Source organism: Homo sapiens, chromosome 20, assembly GCF_000001405.40.
Source record: "Homo sapiens chromosome 20, GRCh38.p14 Primary Assembly".
Lineage (NCBI taxonomy): Eukaryota > Metazoa > Chordata > Mammalia > Primates > Hominidae > Homo > Homo sapiens.
The window spans coordinates 43,585,650-43,601,506 of NC_000020.11; the positions used below are offsets into that span (position 1 = coordinate 43,585,650).

At 45.7% G+C, this 15,857-nt stretch overlaps 1 protein-coding gene across 7 annotated transcripts in view, besides 1 other annotated feature; it reads left to right on the forward strand.

Annotated features, from left to right (window-relative positions):
• IFT52 (intraflagellar transport 52) overlaps positions 5,288-15,857 on the forward strand; it is a 56,363-nt gene continuing 45,793 nt past the window's right edge. For 4 of the 7 annotated variants that reach the window (NM_001323580.2, NM_001323581.2, NM_001303458.3 and 1 more), the window contains exons 1-3: positions 5,288-5,380; positions 9,044-9,168; positions 10,786-10,873. Coding sequence is in view for 3 of the 7 variants with exons in the window: in NM_001303458.3 (NP_001290387.1) it covers positions 9,050-9,168; positions 10,786-10,873 (207 nt within the window). In the remaining 4 variants the exon portion in view is untranslated. Of the gene's footprint in view, positions 5,406-9,043; positions 9,169-10,785; positions 10,874-15,857 lie in introns of all 7 variants that reach the window. The other 3 variants (NM_001323578.2, NM_001323579.2, NM_016004.5) reach the window with 1 other exon arrangement.
• Positions 5,410-5,479: an enhancer, noted in NCBI's record as "active region_17904". NCBI's record gives its function as "activates an Ori minimal core promoter by ATAC-STARR-seq in GM12878 lymphoblastoid cells {active_cell/tissue: GM12878}" and the evidence as "EXISTENCE:reporter gene assay evidence [ECO:0000049][PMID:35858748]".

Here is a 15,857-nt window from a genome sequence, read left to right on the forward strand (position 1 = left end):
TGTGGGTAATACTGGACATTTGTTATTGGGTCTGGGTGCCTGGTATCTGAACCCCTTCTTGTCTCCAGAGAACCCCCTATTTTATGAGACTTCATGGGGGGGCAATAACTACCTCCACTTAAGAGTACCTGAAAATGCTAGACACTGACTTTCCCAGCCTCCCCTTAGCTAGGGCCAGGCATGGGGACCAGGGATAAACCTGTGCCACATTTTGACTCAGGGAAGGGATCGGGAGCGCTCTTTTGTGTGGTAACTGTGATAACAGTACCCGCAAAATTGAGTTCCTGGTGTAGAAGTGACAAGGATGCAAACTGTAGCAGTTGGTGCTCAGTGGCAGCAACGCCATCAGACCAGCCCTGCAATGTCATTCCTGGAAGCCTCAAGTGTTTTTTTTTTTTTTAAGACAGTCTTGCTCTGTCGCCCAGGTTGGAGTGTAGTGGTGCTATCTCAGCCCACTGCAACCTCCGCCTCCTGGGTTCAAGCAATTCTCCTGCCTCAGCGTCCTGAGTAGGTGGAACTATAGGCACGCGCCATCACACCTGGCTAATGGTTTGTATTCTTAGCAGAGACAGGGTTTTGCTATTTTGGCCAGGCTGTTCTCGAACTCCTGACCTCAAGTGATCCTCCCGCCTCAGCCTCCCAAAGTGCGGGTATTACAGGTGCGAGCCACTGCACCCGCCCAAGCCTCAAGTCTTGTCTAGCTTTCCAAATGATCTGAGAATTTCTGATCCTTTTTAACACACTCCTTTTTTGCTTAATTGGCCAAAGTTAGCTTTAGATCGCCTGCTTATGCTTGGCTAGTTGCTGTACTAGACTCTTCCATGTCTGTTACAAATTTTCCATCCAAACAACCCTGAGGTAGGAATTATTACTGTCCCCTTTTTACCAATGAAGATGCAGAGTCAGAGAAGCTGTTCCTTGCCTGAAGGTCACATAGCTAATGAGGGCCAGAGCTGGGACTTGGAGCCCTACAAGCTGGCTCCAGGGCTCTCACATTGAACTTTTGTGCTGATCTGCTTCTCACCCTGGCTATTAGGTCCAGGCAGAATGACTGCCAAAATCTCTAGTGAGGAGCTAAGTCAAAAGTTGGCTGGAACAAGCCAAGTATAAGAAATGGGGTATTGAAGAGGAGACATTGAACGGGATGCCGCTCCTGGTCTGAGCCTGGCTGCCAGGTTCATGCCGTGCTCCACCGCACATTGGGGAGCTCAGAGCTGGACAGAGCTGGAGGCTGCTGCAGACTTGATGCCTAGAGCTTCCTGTCCACCATGGAGCTCCATATGTTCAAGATTAGTCTTTTTTTTTTTTTTTTTTTTGAGACTGAGTTTTGCTCTTGTTGCCCAGGCTGGAGTGCAGTGGCACGATCTCGACTCACCGCAACCTTCGCCTCCCAGGTTCAAGCAACTCTCCTGCCTCAGCCTCCTGAGTAGCTGGGATTACAGGAATGCGCCACCAGGCCTGGCTAATTTTGTATTTTTAGTAGAGACAGGGTTTCTCCATGTTGGTGAGGCTGGTCTCCAACTCCCGACCTCAGATGATCCGCCCACCTCGGCCTCCCAAAGTGCTGGGATTACAGGCGTGAGCCACCGCACCCAGCCAAGATTAGTCATTTCTAAAGATAATTCTGATCGGACAGAACGTGAGCGGTAACACCTCATAAATTCAGAACACCCTGCACTTGTGGGATGGATTGTGCTTCCTTACTTCAGTGGAAAAGTGGTTCGTTTCGGCTGGGCGTGCTGGCTCACACCTGTAATCCCAGCACTTTGGGAGGCCGAGGTCAGGAGTTTGTAGACCAGCCCGGCCGGTATGGTGAAACCCTGTCCCTACTAAAAATACAAAAATTTAGCTGAGTGTGGTGGTGCATGCTTGTAGTCCCAGCTACTCGGGAGGCTGAGACACGAGAATCACTTGAACCCGGGAGGCAGAGGTTGCAGTGAGCCAAGATCGTGCCACTGCACTCCAGCCTGGGCGACAGAGTGTGACTGTCTTATTAATAAATAAATAAATACGAAAAGTGGTTTGTTTTTTTACAAATGTGTGGTTCATACTCCTGGGTGGCCTTATTAGCTTTTTTGGTTGGGAGACAAGGGAAGGAACTTTCTTGGATCAGTGTGTGCTGGTGATTTTATTGCCTTTTCCTCTTAATTCAATCCCACTCTTTCCCTTCCTCAAGTCTTGTTCACCCAGCCTCCTGCCCCAGGAATCACGGGGAAGAAGTCTGGGAGACCACAGAAAAAACACCAATGACACTGAGCTATTAGAGATCAAAACTGGGTCAGGAAGAGTTCATGTTAAGCTTTCACATGTGCTAAGAACGCTGAAAGATACACACTGATTTCCATCTTAATAGTGCCAGATAATTGACAAATTTGGGACAAGATGAGGGAGAGGTCAAAATCCCCCTAACTTCCCAAAGCAAAAAAACAGGAGTATAATGATCAGAAACGTAATAGTAGTGTCAGAAGCACACAATCAGCTGTGGACGGTGAAACATATAATGGTTCTATCTGTTCTGAGATTGTAAAAGCACAATTATTTTCATCAGGATAAAAAATAAAAATGAAAAACTATGCTGTTGAATGGAACATGCTACAACCTATGTTTATTGAGCACATTCCAAGTTTTATATGCATTATCTACAATCCTCACTATAAGCCAGCATTTAGAAATTATGAACTTCAGACTGGGCGCAGTGGCTCACGCCTGTAATCCCAGCACTCTGGGAGGCCAAGGCAGGCAATTCACGAGGTCAAGAGTTCAAGACCAGCCTAGCCAAAATGGTGAAACCCCGTTTTTACTAAGAATACAAAAATTAGCCGGGCATGGTGGCGGGTGCCTGTAATCCCAGCTACCTGAGAGACTGAGGCAGGAGAATTGCTTGAACCCAGGAAGCGAAGGTTGCAGTGAGCGGAGATCATGCCATTGCACTCCAGCCTGGGCAACAGAGCAAGACTCAGTTTCGGCAAAAAAAGAAAGAAAGAAAGAAATTATTAACTTCGCTTTACAGATAGGATACATTTGCTCAGAGATTATGAAAACTGCCCAAGGTCACCCAGCTGGTACAAGTCACAGCGAGGAATTGAACTTGGTGACAACTACTGATTCTAAAAGTCTTACTCTTGCTTTTTTGGGGGGGGAAGCGGGGACGGAGTTATGCTCTTGTTGCCCAGGCTGGAGTGCAATGGCGCAATCTCAGCTCACTGCAACCTCTGCCTCCTGGGTTCGAGTGATTCTCCTGCCTCAGTCTCCCAAGCAGCTGGGATTACAGGCGGCCGCCACCACACCCGGCTAATTTTTTGTATTTTTATTTTTATTTTATTTTTTATAGAGACGGGGTTTCACCATGTTGGTCAGGCTGGTCTCGAGCTCTTGACCTCAAGTGATCCACCTGCCTTGGCCTCCCAAAGTGCTGGGATTACAGGCGTGGGCCACTGCACCCGGCCAAAACTCTTACTCTTTCTGCAATCTCTAACAGTGGGAGAAATGCTCTGGGCAGGTGCTGTAGCAAACACTGACTGCATATCAGGCAGAAAGATCCCAAGATTTGTCCCAGCCTTCAAATGGGACGGCCTACTCTCTCTTCAGTGAGAATACTTCATTTCCATTATTACCCTAACTGCAAACTGTATTCACCCAATTCTGCACCAAAATACAGCATCCCCAAGAAGAGAACTTTTTTTTTTTAAGAGACAGAGTCTCACTCTGTTGCCCAGGCTGGGGTGCAGTGGAGCGATCATGGCTCACTGCAGCCCGAACTCCTGGGTTCCAGCGATCTTCCCACCTCAGCCTCCCAAGTAGCTAAGACTACAGGTGTGTGCCACCATGCCTGGCTAATTTTCTTTTTTTATTTATTATTACTATTATTATTGGAGAGAAAAGGTGTTACTGTTACCCAGGTCCCAGACTCCTGGCCTCAAGCAGTCCTCCCACCTTGGCCTCCCAAAATGCTGGGATTACAGGCAGAAGCCACTTCATCTGACCAAAGAGAATTCTCAAATCACCCTGTTCTCCACTTTCTTTTTGAGACAAGGTCTCACTGTGTTGCCTAGGCTAGAGTGCGGCGGCACCATGACGGCTCACTGCAGCCTCAACCTCCTAGGATCAATCAATCAATCCTCCCACCTCAGTCTCCCAAGCAGCTGGGACTACAGGCGCGCGCCACCACGCCCAGGTAATTTTTCCTATTTTTAGTAGATACCGGGTTTCGCCATGTTGCCTAGGCTGGCCTCAAACTCCTGGGCTAAAGAGATCCACCTGCCTCGGCCTCCCAAAGTGCTGGGATTACAGGAGAGAGCCGCTGCGCCCGGCCCGTCTCCACTTTTAAAATTTCCAGTGACAGAAATTGTGGAAAGCAACACGAGTTGTATGTGTTTTAATATCCTAGATTCGAAGACAAACATAAATGTAAATAAAAACTGTCAGAGCTCTCTGCAATCTTCAGTTTGGGTCTTCCAGGCTGCTGCAGCGTTGTTCACAAATCCACACACCTCTAAAGGCAGGCACAGAGCGCTTTCCTGGGTAGTCGGGTGGCCTGTTGGTAGTTGCAGGCTTCTGGTTTCCCATCTTAATGGCGATGGCAGGGCAACCTGTATTGGTGGTGCTTTTGCACAAGCAGTTCTTTCTGCCGGGAACGCCCTTCCCCAGCCTTTGCCTTAATGAATACCACTCTCTCTTCAAATCTCTGCTCAACAGGGGCGCCTTTTTGACCAGCTTAGTCGTTAGACTCCCTAATACAGTTCATAGTTTTCACATTTTTGTAGAATCTATTCAAGTTCTAACTCCCCGCCATGCTCGCCGGCGCTCAAGCCTAGTACCATGGCAAGCAAAGATGCGGAGTTAATAAAACAGAATTATACGGTTTATCATTCTCAACACTAAACCTGCGCACCCTTTTCCGTTAAGTAGTTCCTAATAGTCCAGCACAGCCTTCCGCCCGGCCCCGCCCTCGCCTGGCTCCACTCTGCTCCTGCGCTTTGGGAATCGAAGCTGGGGCGTTCTCCAACCCCCCCGCGCTGGAAGCCTTCACTATTCTCCTCCCTGTGGGTGGAGCGAAGTTTGGGCACTTGGGTCCTACCGTTGTTATTAGTCTTTACTCGTAATTGATACTAAAGAACAAAATTAAATGGGTTTATTTTTGGTGAAAAGTTAATTCTCCTTATGTTTGGATTTGCCCCTCATGCACCAAATGGTACAGCCCCACATCAGTCAGGCTGCCTACCCCTGACGCCTGCGACGGAGAGGCGCCTTCCGTGCTGTCGTCATCACGTCGGCCGGAGCTAGCGCTGCGTCCTGGGCCACGCCTCCCGGCGCACCGACGCGCCTCTCCGGTTACTAAGCGGCCTTGGATACCTGGCCGCGGGATGCTGGGCGGCGTCAGGTGAGCGGTGGTCGCTGGGCCTCAGGTAAAGGGCGCCAACAGTGGTGGGCCGGCTGGGGCGTTGGTGCGGCCTGGGAGCTGGCGAGGGACTCGCCGCACTCTTCGAGGCCGCTGGGCCGGTCATAGAACATCCAGGGTCCCCCGGGGTGAAGTAAACTGTGGGCGCGGACGTAGCCCGGGTTCCTGGCGCCCCGGCTGGGCGCCCATCTCCACGGCCTCGGGTGGTGCAGGTGTTTAGTCGTTCCGCTGACTATGAAAGAGCATGGGACGAGGAATCGTACAGTCTTAATCTCTCTTCTGTCGTGGCTGCGACCCCTCGGTATTCATGTGGGAAAATACTGATTTGACTGGTAATGTTATTGAAGAGAAAGCGAGAGAATGGTTTGGCAGCGTTACCCAAATATTTGTTATTTTTATAGTTTTAAAGGCCTTATACTATTATTAAGGAAATGCATTTCTGGCTAAGTCTGACAGTACAGGAACGCAGACCTGCTACTCTCACCAGGGGCTGAACTAACAGAACAAAAAAAGATAGATGTATCACGGTGGTGGGACCATGGAGGGGGCAGTTTTTCAACTGGACAAAATGATGTTAAAGTGCTTAAAGAAGGATAAATATGTGAAAGTAGCCAGGAAAATTCTAAAATTAATGCTAATAAGGGAGATTAGCTCTCCAGAACCACCAGATATTATAACATAAAGGTATAGCAATTAAACTAGCATAGAAGATGGGTGCAGCAGTGTGGGCCCGTAGTCCTGGCTACTTGGTAGGCTGAGGCGGCAGGATCCCTTGAGCCCAGGAGTCAGAGACCAGCATGGGTATCAAAAGGAAACCCTGTCTCTGAAAATAAATAAATTAATTTAAAAAGTTTGGGACTCAGCAGGAGCTTACAGGTAGATAAAATATATTAGAACTCAGAATAAGAGCGATTTATATATAGGGATTTATTATATAGGCGAGGTGGTACTGTATTTCAAATCAGCATTGAAGAGATGAATTGGGGTCAGGCAGCTTTTTTAGCAATTTAGAAAATAATTAAACCAGTCGAGCGAGGTGGCTCACACCTGTAATCCCAGCACTTTGGGAGGCCAAAGCGGGTGGATCACTTGAGGTCAGGAGTTCCAGACCAGCCTGGCCAACCTGGTGAAACACCGTCTCTACTATGGCGCGCGCCTGTAATCCCAGCTACTGGGGAGGCTGAGGCAGGAGAATTGCTTGAACTTGGGAGGCGGAGGTTGCAGCGAGCCGAGATTGCACCACTGCACTCCAGCCTGGGTGACAGAGCAAGACTATGCTTTGAAAAAGAAGGAAAAAAAAAAGGAATGAAGCCCATTTTGAGCACCACAATAATTTCCAAATGGACTAAAATTTAAATGTTAAAAAATTACATCACGAATTAGCCGGGTGTGTTTGGGCGCCTGTAGTCCCAGCCGCTTGGGAGGCTGAGGCACGAGAATCTCTTGAATCTGGGAGGCAGAGGTTGTGGTGAGCCGAGATCGTGCCACTGCACTCCAGCTTAGGCCACAGAGCAGACTCTCTCAAAAAAAAAAAAAAATTACATCATGAAGTACTGAAGTAAAGCATTGTTGAATTTATTTATAATCTTAGAATGACAAAAAACTCTTCTAAGTGTTTCATGTCATCCAGAAGCCAGGAAGGAAAAGATTCATACTTTTAACTCTATAAAATTTAAAATCTATATGGCCTGCAAAATTCAACCAAACCAAAAAAACTACCAGAAGCCAAATAAACTTATGAAAATGTTTGTTTAATGATCAATTAGAAAATTATGAAACCCGACTGGGTGCAGTGGCTCATGCCAGTAAACCAGCACTTTGGGAGGTTGAGGTAGGAGGATCACTTGAGGTCAGGAGTTCAAGGGCAACATAGCGAGACCTTGCTTCTACAAAAAATTTAAAAATTAGCTGGACACTGGTGCGCGCCTGTAGTCCCAGCTACCCATGAGGTTGAAGTGGGATGATTGCTTGAGCCTGGGAGGTCAAGGCTACAGTGAGTTGTGATTGCAGCACTGCACTCCCAGCCTGGGTCACAGAGTGGGACTTTTATCTCAAATAATAATAATAAGAAGAAGTTTTTAAAAAGAAAAATTTAAAGAGAAAAATGATCAAGAGTACCTGGACAAGAAAATCAGAAGAAATACAAGTGGCAAAAATCTATAGCAAGAGACAACTATCTCACTAACTTCAAAGTGGAAATTAAAACAGTAATGAGGGGGGTTTTTTGGCCCTTTATTGGCAAACATGACAAAGACTGGAAATAGGATTGTGTGGAAACAGAAGGGTGTTAGTGGAAATATAAATGAGTATAACTTTTTGGAGGGCAATTTGGAAATGATTTACTCAGCCATTCAATAGATAAGAATCTCTACAAATATGCAAATTGCAGAAAAACATGTTGTTTAACATTGATGTTTTTAGTATTGTTTTAGAAAATATTTGATAAAAGATGTCAGCCAGTAGATGACTGGTTAAATAAATTATGGTAGATCCATAAAATGAATACTGTGTAGCTGTTTTTGTTGTTGTTGTTGTTTAAAGACAGGGTCTTGCTGTGTTCTCCAGGCTGGAGTGCAGAGTGGCGTGATTGTGGCTCACTGCAGCCTTAACCTCTTGGGCTCAAGCAATCCTTTCACCTCAGCCTCCCGAATAGCTGGGACTACAGATATGTGCCACCATGCCCTGCTAATTTTTTTTGTAGAGATGTGGTTTTATCATGTTATCCAGGCTGGTCTGGAACTGCTGAGCTCAAGCGATCCTCCCACCTCAGCCTCTCAAAGTGCTGGAGTTACAGGCGTGAGCCACTGCACCCAGCCCTGTGTAGCTGTTTAAAAGAATATGGTAGATCCATGTGTACTGACAAAGAAAGATGTCAAATATACAAGGTTAGGTGAAACAGGTGTTTCAGAATAATGCATATGGTAAGATCCTATTTCATAAAATAAAACTGTAAGTTAATATATGTATAAAAAGAATCTCGAGCTGGGTGCAGTGGCTCACACCTGTAATCCCAGCACTTTGGGAGGCCAAGGCAGGTGGATCATGAGGTCAGGAGTTTGAGACCAGCCTGACCAACATGGTGAAACCCCGTCTCTACTGAAAATACAAAAATTAGCTGGGCATGGTGACACGTGCCTGTAATCCTGGCAACTCAGGAGGCTGAGGCAGGAGAATCGCTTGAACCCGGGAGATGGAGGTTGCAGTGAGCCAAGATCACACCATTGCACTCCAACCTGGGAGACAGAGCAAGACTCCGTCTCAAAAAAAAGAAAAATAGAATCTAGAAGACTATACCCTGCGCTTAACAGTAGTTAGCAGTAATGAATCAGGATGGAAACATGGTCTTGGGACACAAGAGCAGGGTGATGGCAGGGCAGAGCCATAGGTGTAGGCTGTTGGGAGGATCTGGGCAAGAGGCAGAAAGCAAAAGCGGGTAGGGGAGGGCTGGGTTGGTTTTGGTCTTAGGTTTCTGTGCTATGCTTTTGCATTTCACTCTCAACCTTTGAGAATTGTAGGAGTTTCCTAGATAGGTTTCAGTTGTATACCCTTTCTTGATAAATTAGTAGTAGAAGGCAACTATTTATTACTTTTAGGGTCTTTGGAATATTGTTTATTGATTTTCTGATCCCATCTTTCTTCCATAAGGTAACCATGGAGAAAGAGCTGCGGAGCACCATTCTTTTCAATGCCTACAAAAAGGAGATATTTACCACCAACAATGGCTACAAATCCATGCAGAAAAAACTTCGGAGTAATTGGAAGATTCAGAGGTGACTGACCATGTATATTGTTTTCCCTTCTAAATGATATTGTCCTGCTGATAAAGCTGAGAAGTCTTTATTTTCTTAGGTAACATAGATTGTTTAGGTGGGAGAAGCTCAATTTAAAGATTATTCAGAATTAGGTCTGGCGTGGTGGCTCACACCTGTAATCCCAGCAGTTTGGGAGGCTGAGGCGGGCGGATCACGAGGTCAAGAGATCAAGACTGGCCGGCACGGTGGCTGACACCTGTAATCCCAGCACTTTGGGAGGCCAAGGCGGGTGGATCATGAGGTCATGGGTTCGAGACAAGCCTGGACAAGATGGTGAAACCCCATCGCTACTAAAAATTAAAAAAAAAATTAGCGAAGTGTGGTGGTGGGCGCCTGTAATCCCAGCTCCTTGGGAGGCTGAAGCAGAGAATTGCTTGAACCCGGGAGGCAGAGGTTGCAGTGAGCCGAGATTGTGCCACTGCGCTCCAGCCTGGGCAACAGAGTGAGACTCCGTCTCAAAAAAAAAAAAAAAAAAAAAAGAAAGATCAAGACCATCCTGGCCAACATGGCGAAACCCTGTCTCTACTAAAAATACAAAAATCAGCTGGGCATGATCGTGCGTGCCTATGGTCCCAGCTGCTCGGGAGGCTGAGGCAGGAGAATCGCTTAAATCCAGGAGGCGGAGGTTACAGTAAGCCGAGATTGCGCCACTGCACTCCAGCTTGGTGACAGAGCGAGACTCTGTCTAAAAAAATAAAAAAACATTATTCAGAATGAAATAAATTCTTATTAAAACGTCTCTTGGGCAGGACGCGGTGGCTCATGCCTGTAATCCCAGCACTTTGGGAGGCTGAAGCAGGCAGATCACTAGAGGTCAAGAGTTGGCGACCAGCCTGGCCTACATGGCAAAACCTCATCTCTACTGAAAATACAAAAATTAGCCAGACATGATGGTGCATGCCTATAATCCCAGCTACTAAGGAGGCTGAGGCACAAGAATCCCTTGAACCCAGGAAGTGAATGCCTGCAGTGAGCCGAGATCATGCCACTGCACTCCAGCCTGGGAAACAGAGGGAGACTCTGTCAAAAACAAAAATTAAAAAAAAAATGTCTTTCGAAATCAGCAATTAGGATATTATTAAAGCAGCATATTATTAAGTTGTTTTCCAAATCACAAGCCAAAAGATTATTCTAATTATACACATGTAGCTTTTTAAGATGTTAGAGGCTTTCTTCATATTTTGACTCAGGTCAGTACTAGGGAAAGGAAACATGAGAATTAAATGAGAATAACTTTGTGTATGTGCATGTTTTTCTTAATAGGTGAGGATATGTAATCATACAAGCTAATGGTAGGGCTGATTGAATTAGTAGTTGCAGACTTCCTTATGCTTTAGCATGGCTTGATTTGAACACCTTGACTTACTGGAAGTATTTGAACAGAGGCCAGATGACTCTGGGGCAGGCCTGTAGAGGGAATTCTCACTTTGGGAGAGAGACTGGACCAGTTACCTCTAAATCCCTTCATCTCTGAGCCTCTGTGGCCTCTGCTTCCAAATAGTTAAGAGACTAAAATAATACATAAATTGGTTTAAATTATGGACTTCATATTTGCTTTTAAAATTGTATTTCCAGCTTAAAAGATGAAATCACATCTGAGAAGTTAAATGGAGTGAAACTGTGGATTACAGCTGGGCCAAGGGAAAAATTTACTGCAGCTGAGGTAAGAAATATCCACTAAAGAAGGAATATGGTGAAATGATTAGGAGTCTGAGCTTTGAAATACCGGATTTGAATCCCCCTTCACCACTTACTGTGTGGCCTTAAGGTAGTCACTTCATCTCTCTTTTCATCATGGAGTTGTGATGATTAACTGAGATACTCCATGTAAAGTACCAAACACATAGTGTGGGCCAATTAAATATTAGCCACACTTCTTTTTTTTTTTTTTTTTTTTTTTGAGACAGAGTCTCGCTCTGTCGCCGAGGCTGGAGTGCAGTGGCGCAATCTCGGCTCACTGCAACCTCCACCTCCCGGGTTCAAGCAATTCTCACTGCCTCAGCCTCCTGAGTAGCTGGGACTACAGGTGCCCACCACCACGCCCGGCTAATTTTTGTATTTTTGGTGCAGATGGGGTCTCACCATATTGGCCAGGCTGGTCTCAAACTCCTGACCTTGTGATCTGCCTACCTCAGCCTCCCAAAGTGCTGGGATTACAGGTGTGAGCCACCGAGCCCAGCCAGTAGCCACATTTCTTTGCTATATTTTTGCTTTGAAAATAGGAAAATTCCGCCAGGCGCGGTGGCTCACACCTGTAATCCCAACACTTTGGGAGGCCGAGGCAGGCAGATCACCTGAGGTCGGGAGTTCAAGACCACCCTGACCAACATGGAGAAACCCCGTCTCTACTAAAAATACAAAATTAGCCAGGCGTGGTGGCGCATTCCTGTAATCCCAGCTACATGAGAGGCTGAGGCAGGAGAATCGCTTGAACCTGGGAGGCGGAGCTTGCTGTGTGCCAAGATCGCGCCATCTCACTCCAGCCTGGGCAACAAGAGCAAAACTCCATCTCAAAAAAAAAAAAAGAAAGAAAATAGGAATTCATTTAAAATAAAAGTGTTTATTATTCTAGTTCATGGAATGGATAAAGAATGATAAATGTAAGGCCCAGAATACAAATGACAAGTATTGGTGAGAATGGGAAGTTATTGGAACCCTTCCACACTGATGGTGGGAATGTAAAATGATGCAGTCACCATGAAAAACAGTATGGTAGTTCCTCAAAAATTTAAGCATAAAATTGCCATATGATGGCTGTGTGTGGTGGCCCACGCCTGTAATCCCAGCACTTTGGGAGGCTGAGAAGGGTGGATCACTTGAGGTCAGGAGTTCGAGACTAGCCTGGCCAACATGGTGAAACCTCATCTCTACTAAAAATACAAAAATTAGCCGGGCGTGATGGTGTGCGCCTGTAATCCCAACTACTTGGGAGGCTGAGGCAGGAGAATCACTTGAACCTGGGAGGCGGAGTTGCAGCGAGCAGAGATCGGGCCACTGCACTCCAGCGTTGGCAACAGAGTGAGACTCTTTCAAAAAAAAAAAAAAAAAAAAACTGCCATATGATCTAGCAATTCCACTTCTGGGTATATGCCCAAAAGAATGGAAAACCAGATCTCAGAGATAGTTGCACACCTATCTTCCTAGCAGCGCTATTCACAATAGCCAAAAGGTGGAAATAGCCCAAGTATCCATCGGCAGATGAGTAGATAAGATATGGTATATACATACAATGGAATATTATTCAATCTTAAATAGGAAGGTAATTCTGATACATGCTACACATGGATGAATCTTGAGGACATTATGCCAAACGAAAATAAGGCAGACACAAAAAGACAAATACTGTATGATTTCACTTATGCAAGCATGAGGTACGTAGAGTAGTCGAATTCGTAGAGACAGAAAATAGAAGGGTGGTGGTTGCCAGGGCCTGGGGGAGGTGGGGAATGGAGCGTTGCTGCTTAATAGGTATAGAGTTTCAGTTTTGCAAGATGAAAACAGTTCTGCAGATTGATTGCCTAACAGTGTGAGTATATTTAATACTGCTGAACTAGGCCAGGTGCGGTGGCTAACACCTGTAATCCCAGCACTTTGGGAGGCTGAGGTGGGTGGATCACTTGAGGCTAGGAGTTTGAGACCAGCTTGGCCAACATGGTGAAACCTCATCTCTACTAAAAATACAAAAATTAGCCGGGCTTGGTGGCACATGCTTGTACTCCCAGCTACTTGGGAAGTGGAGGTGGGAGAATCGCTTGAACCTGGGAGGCGGAGGTTGCAGTGAGCCGAGATTGCGCCACCGCACTCCAGCCTGGCGACAGAGACCCTGTCTGAAAAGAAAAAACAAACAAACAAAAAACTGCTGAACTATATACTTCAGAATGGTTAAGATGGTAAATTTAGGAAAGATTAGGTGTGTTTTTTCACAGTCAATAAAACAAAAAACCCAGAACATAGAAAGAGCCATTTTACAGAGAATGGGAAGTACCTTTGTGCTGAGAGAGAATATGGGGAATAGAGAGGTTGAGGCAGGGCAAGGCCAATGTGGTCCTTAGATTGAGGCAGGCCAAGGTCTCCTGCTGTTACTCTGGGTGGTGCCATGGGGAAGAGGTCCACTGGGGAGCATTTCTAGTGCACTTTGTTTCTCAATTTGATTGCAAAGTGACCTTCCCCCGCTGGGAATGGCATGGAGAGGGACATGATTGTTTGATCAGGTTAATTGACAGAAGGAGTAGAAATTACCATTGGGAATGTGGAGGTAACCAGCAACTCCTACCCACTGAGACCCTGAGGGATATGTACACACAGAGGGCAGTGGCCTGCAGAGCAACACTCTATTGCTTGTTGGGCTTCGGCTCCATCTCCCCATCCACCTAGCGAAGCCAATGAGAGAGTTGGCCTGATGTTTGCCAGGGACCAACCAGCCTCAGGAACACAGGGGCATCCAAAGAGAGGGTCAGAACCTGGTGCCTGGGCCTTTTCCCAAGTGGAGATGGGTGCCAGGCCAAGCCTTAGTTTGGGCTTCCAGGCATGGTAGGCTGATGCATCCAAGAGACACAAGTCCTTCGAGAGGCAAATTTGATGTAACTTTAGCCTAATAAAACGTCCTCTCCCAGACCAGTCCCTGACACCATACCTTCTCTTTAGAGTTGGAGTGAGGTGGGAAGAAAAGGGAAAAAAGCTGTTAGCTTTTTTTCTAGGAATCAGCATTCCTTTGTGTTACAGTTCTTCCAATGGGCTCATGCTTGTGAGATCACTGCTTTCCTTGTCATTGCTGCTGGCCTCCTAGACTGTTACCCCTGGAGAGCTGTGTGATGCCTTTTTCATGTTGACTTCCAGAAACTTCTGTGACAGGACAGACATCATATGTCTGATATTAGATGCTAGTATCATGCTAGAAACTAGGCTGAACAGTCTTTCCTTATTTCCACCTCAACTACATTGACGCATTACACTAGCTTTGTGGTGGTATTCAGTTACGACCAGGTAACCACGTGGCTGAGACGAGTATTTTCCAACCCTAACAGACCAGCATCCACCTATATTACAGATGCCAACTTTGTTACCCTGAATTGAAATGCAAAGATAATCTAACCCACCACCATTAAAAAAGTAAAGCAATATAACTTCCTAACTTTAATGTACAGAAATTAAAGGATGATTTATAAAAGAATATGTGTATTTCAAATTGTAAATGTTTATGCATATATATACTAGAAGAATATACATATTTCAGTTTGTTAATGCTTGGTCATACATGCATTAGAACACTTCTTTATGTTTGACATTTTGAAATAAATGTTTAATAAGTATGTAGAACTCCGATGAATGGGATAGGTACATATGCAGACTGGTGGAAGTGATGTATTGGCAATTCAAATCATGAGCCGTGTTGCTGTCGGTGATGTGATTTTTCCAAAATACTGACTAACTCTTGGTAAAGTTCTATTTTTTTTTTTTTTTCCTGAGACGGAGTCTTGCTCTGTCACCCAGGCTGGAGTGCAGTGGAGTGATCTCAGCTCACTGCAAGCTCCGCCTCCCGGGTTCACGCCATTCTCCTGCCTCAGCCTTCCGAGTAGGTGGTACTACAGGTGCCCACCACCACGCCCGGCTAATTTTTTGTATTTTTAGTAGAGATGGGGTTTCACCGTGTTAGCCAGGGTGATCTCGATCTCCTGGCCTTGTGATCCGCCCGCCTTGGCCTCTGGTAAAGTTCTGTTAATAAAAAGAGTATAATTCTTCTCTCAGTTTACATGGTAGTTGGGTACCTCCGAATTCAGTATATGTTAAATCGTGCAAAAAATACTTTGTACAGTATTTACATAGAATTTGAGCTGGGCGCAGTAGCTTACTCCTGTAATCCCAGGAGTTTGGGAGGCCGAGGCGGGTGGAACACCAGACGTCAGGAGTTTGAGACTAGCCTGGCCAACATGGTGAAACCTTGTCTCTACTGAAAATACAAAAATTAGCCAGGTGTGGTGGCAGGCTCCTGTAGTCACAACTACTCAGGAGGCTGAGGCAGGAGAATCACTTGAACCCAGGAGGCGAAGTTTGCAGTGAGCCGAGATCGAGCCACTGCAGCATGGGTGACAGAGCAAGACTTCATCTCAAAAAAAATAAAGAAATTGGAGTTAGATTTTAGGCTGAGCTTCTTTTGTTTGTTTGCTTTTTCTTTTTTAAACCTCCGTGACTATCTGAGAAGATATTCAAATGCTGTGGAATAGTTCTTTACTGTGTGGGACTGGTCTGAATATTGCAGGACCTTAACTTCCCTGCCCTTCACCCGCTAAAATGTCCTTAAACATTAATATTATGGCATTAATATTTTGCCATATTAATATTAATATTATGGTGATCCAGAATACATGCTAGATGGTTTAAATGCCTCCACTGAGAGCCACTGGCCTGGATCATCCAGTCTCGATTACAGGAAATACCTCACATTTGCTGCCACACTAACAGTGTGAATGCATTCTAAGCCAATTTCTAAAATTCAAGTCTGCAAAATTAATCTTTCTTCCTGTTTTTGCCATAAAGAAATAAGAAACCTCCAGTTTGTACCAAATATCCATTCTTTTGTTAGAAGGGTCTCACTTACGTGTATAGCTGGAAACTGGGTCATAATTCATGTAAGCTCCTTCAACTTTTGC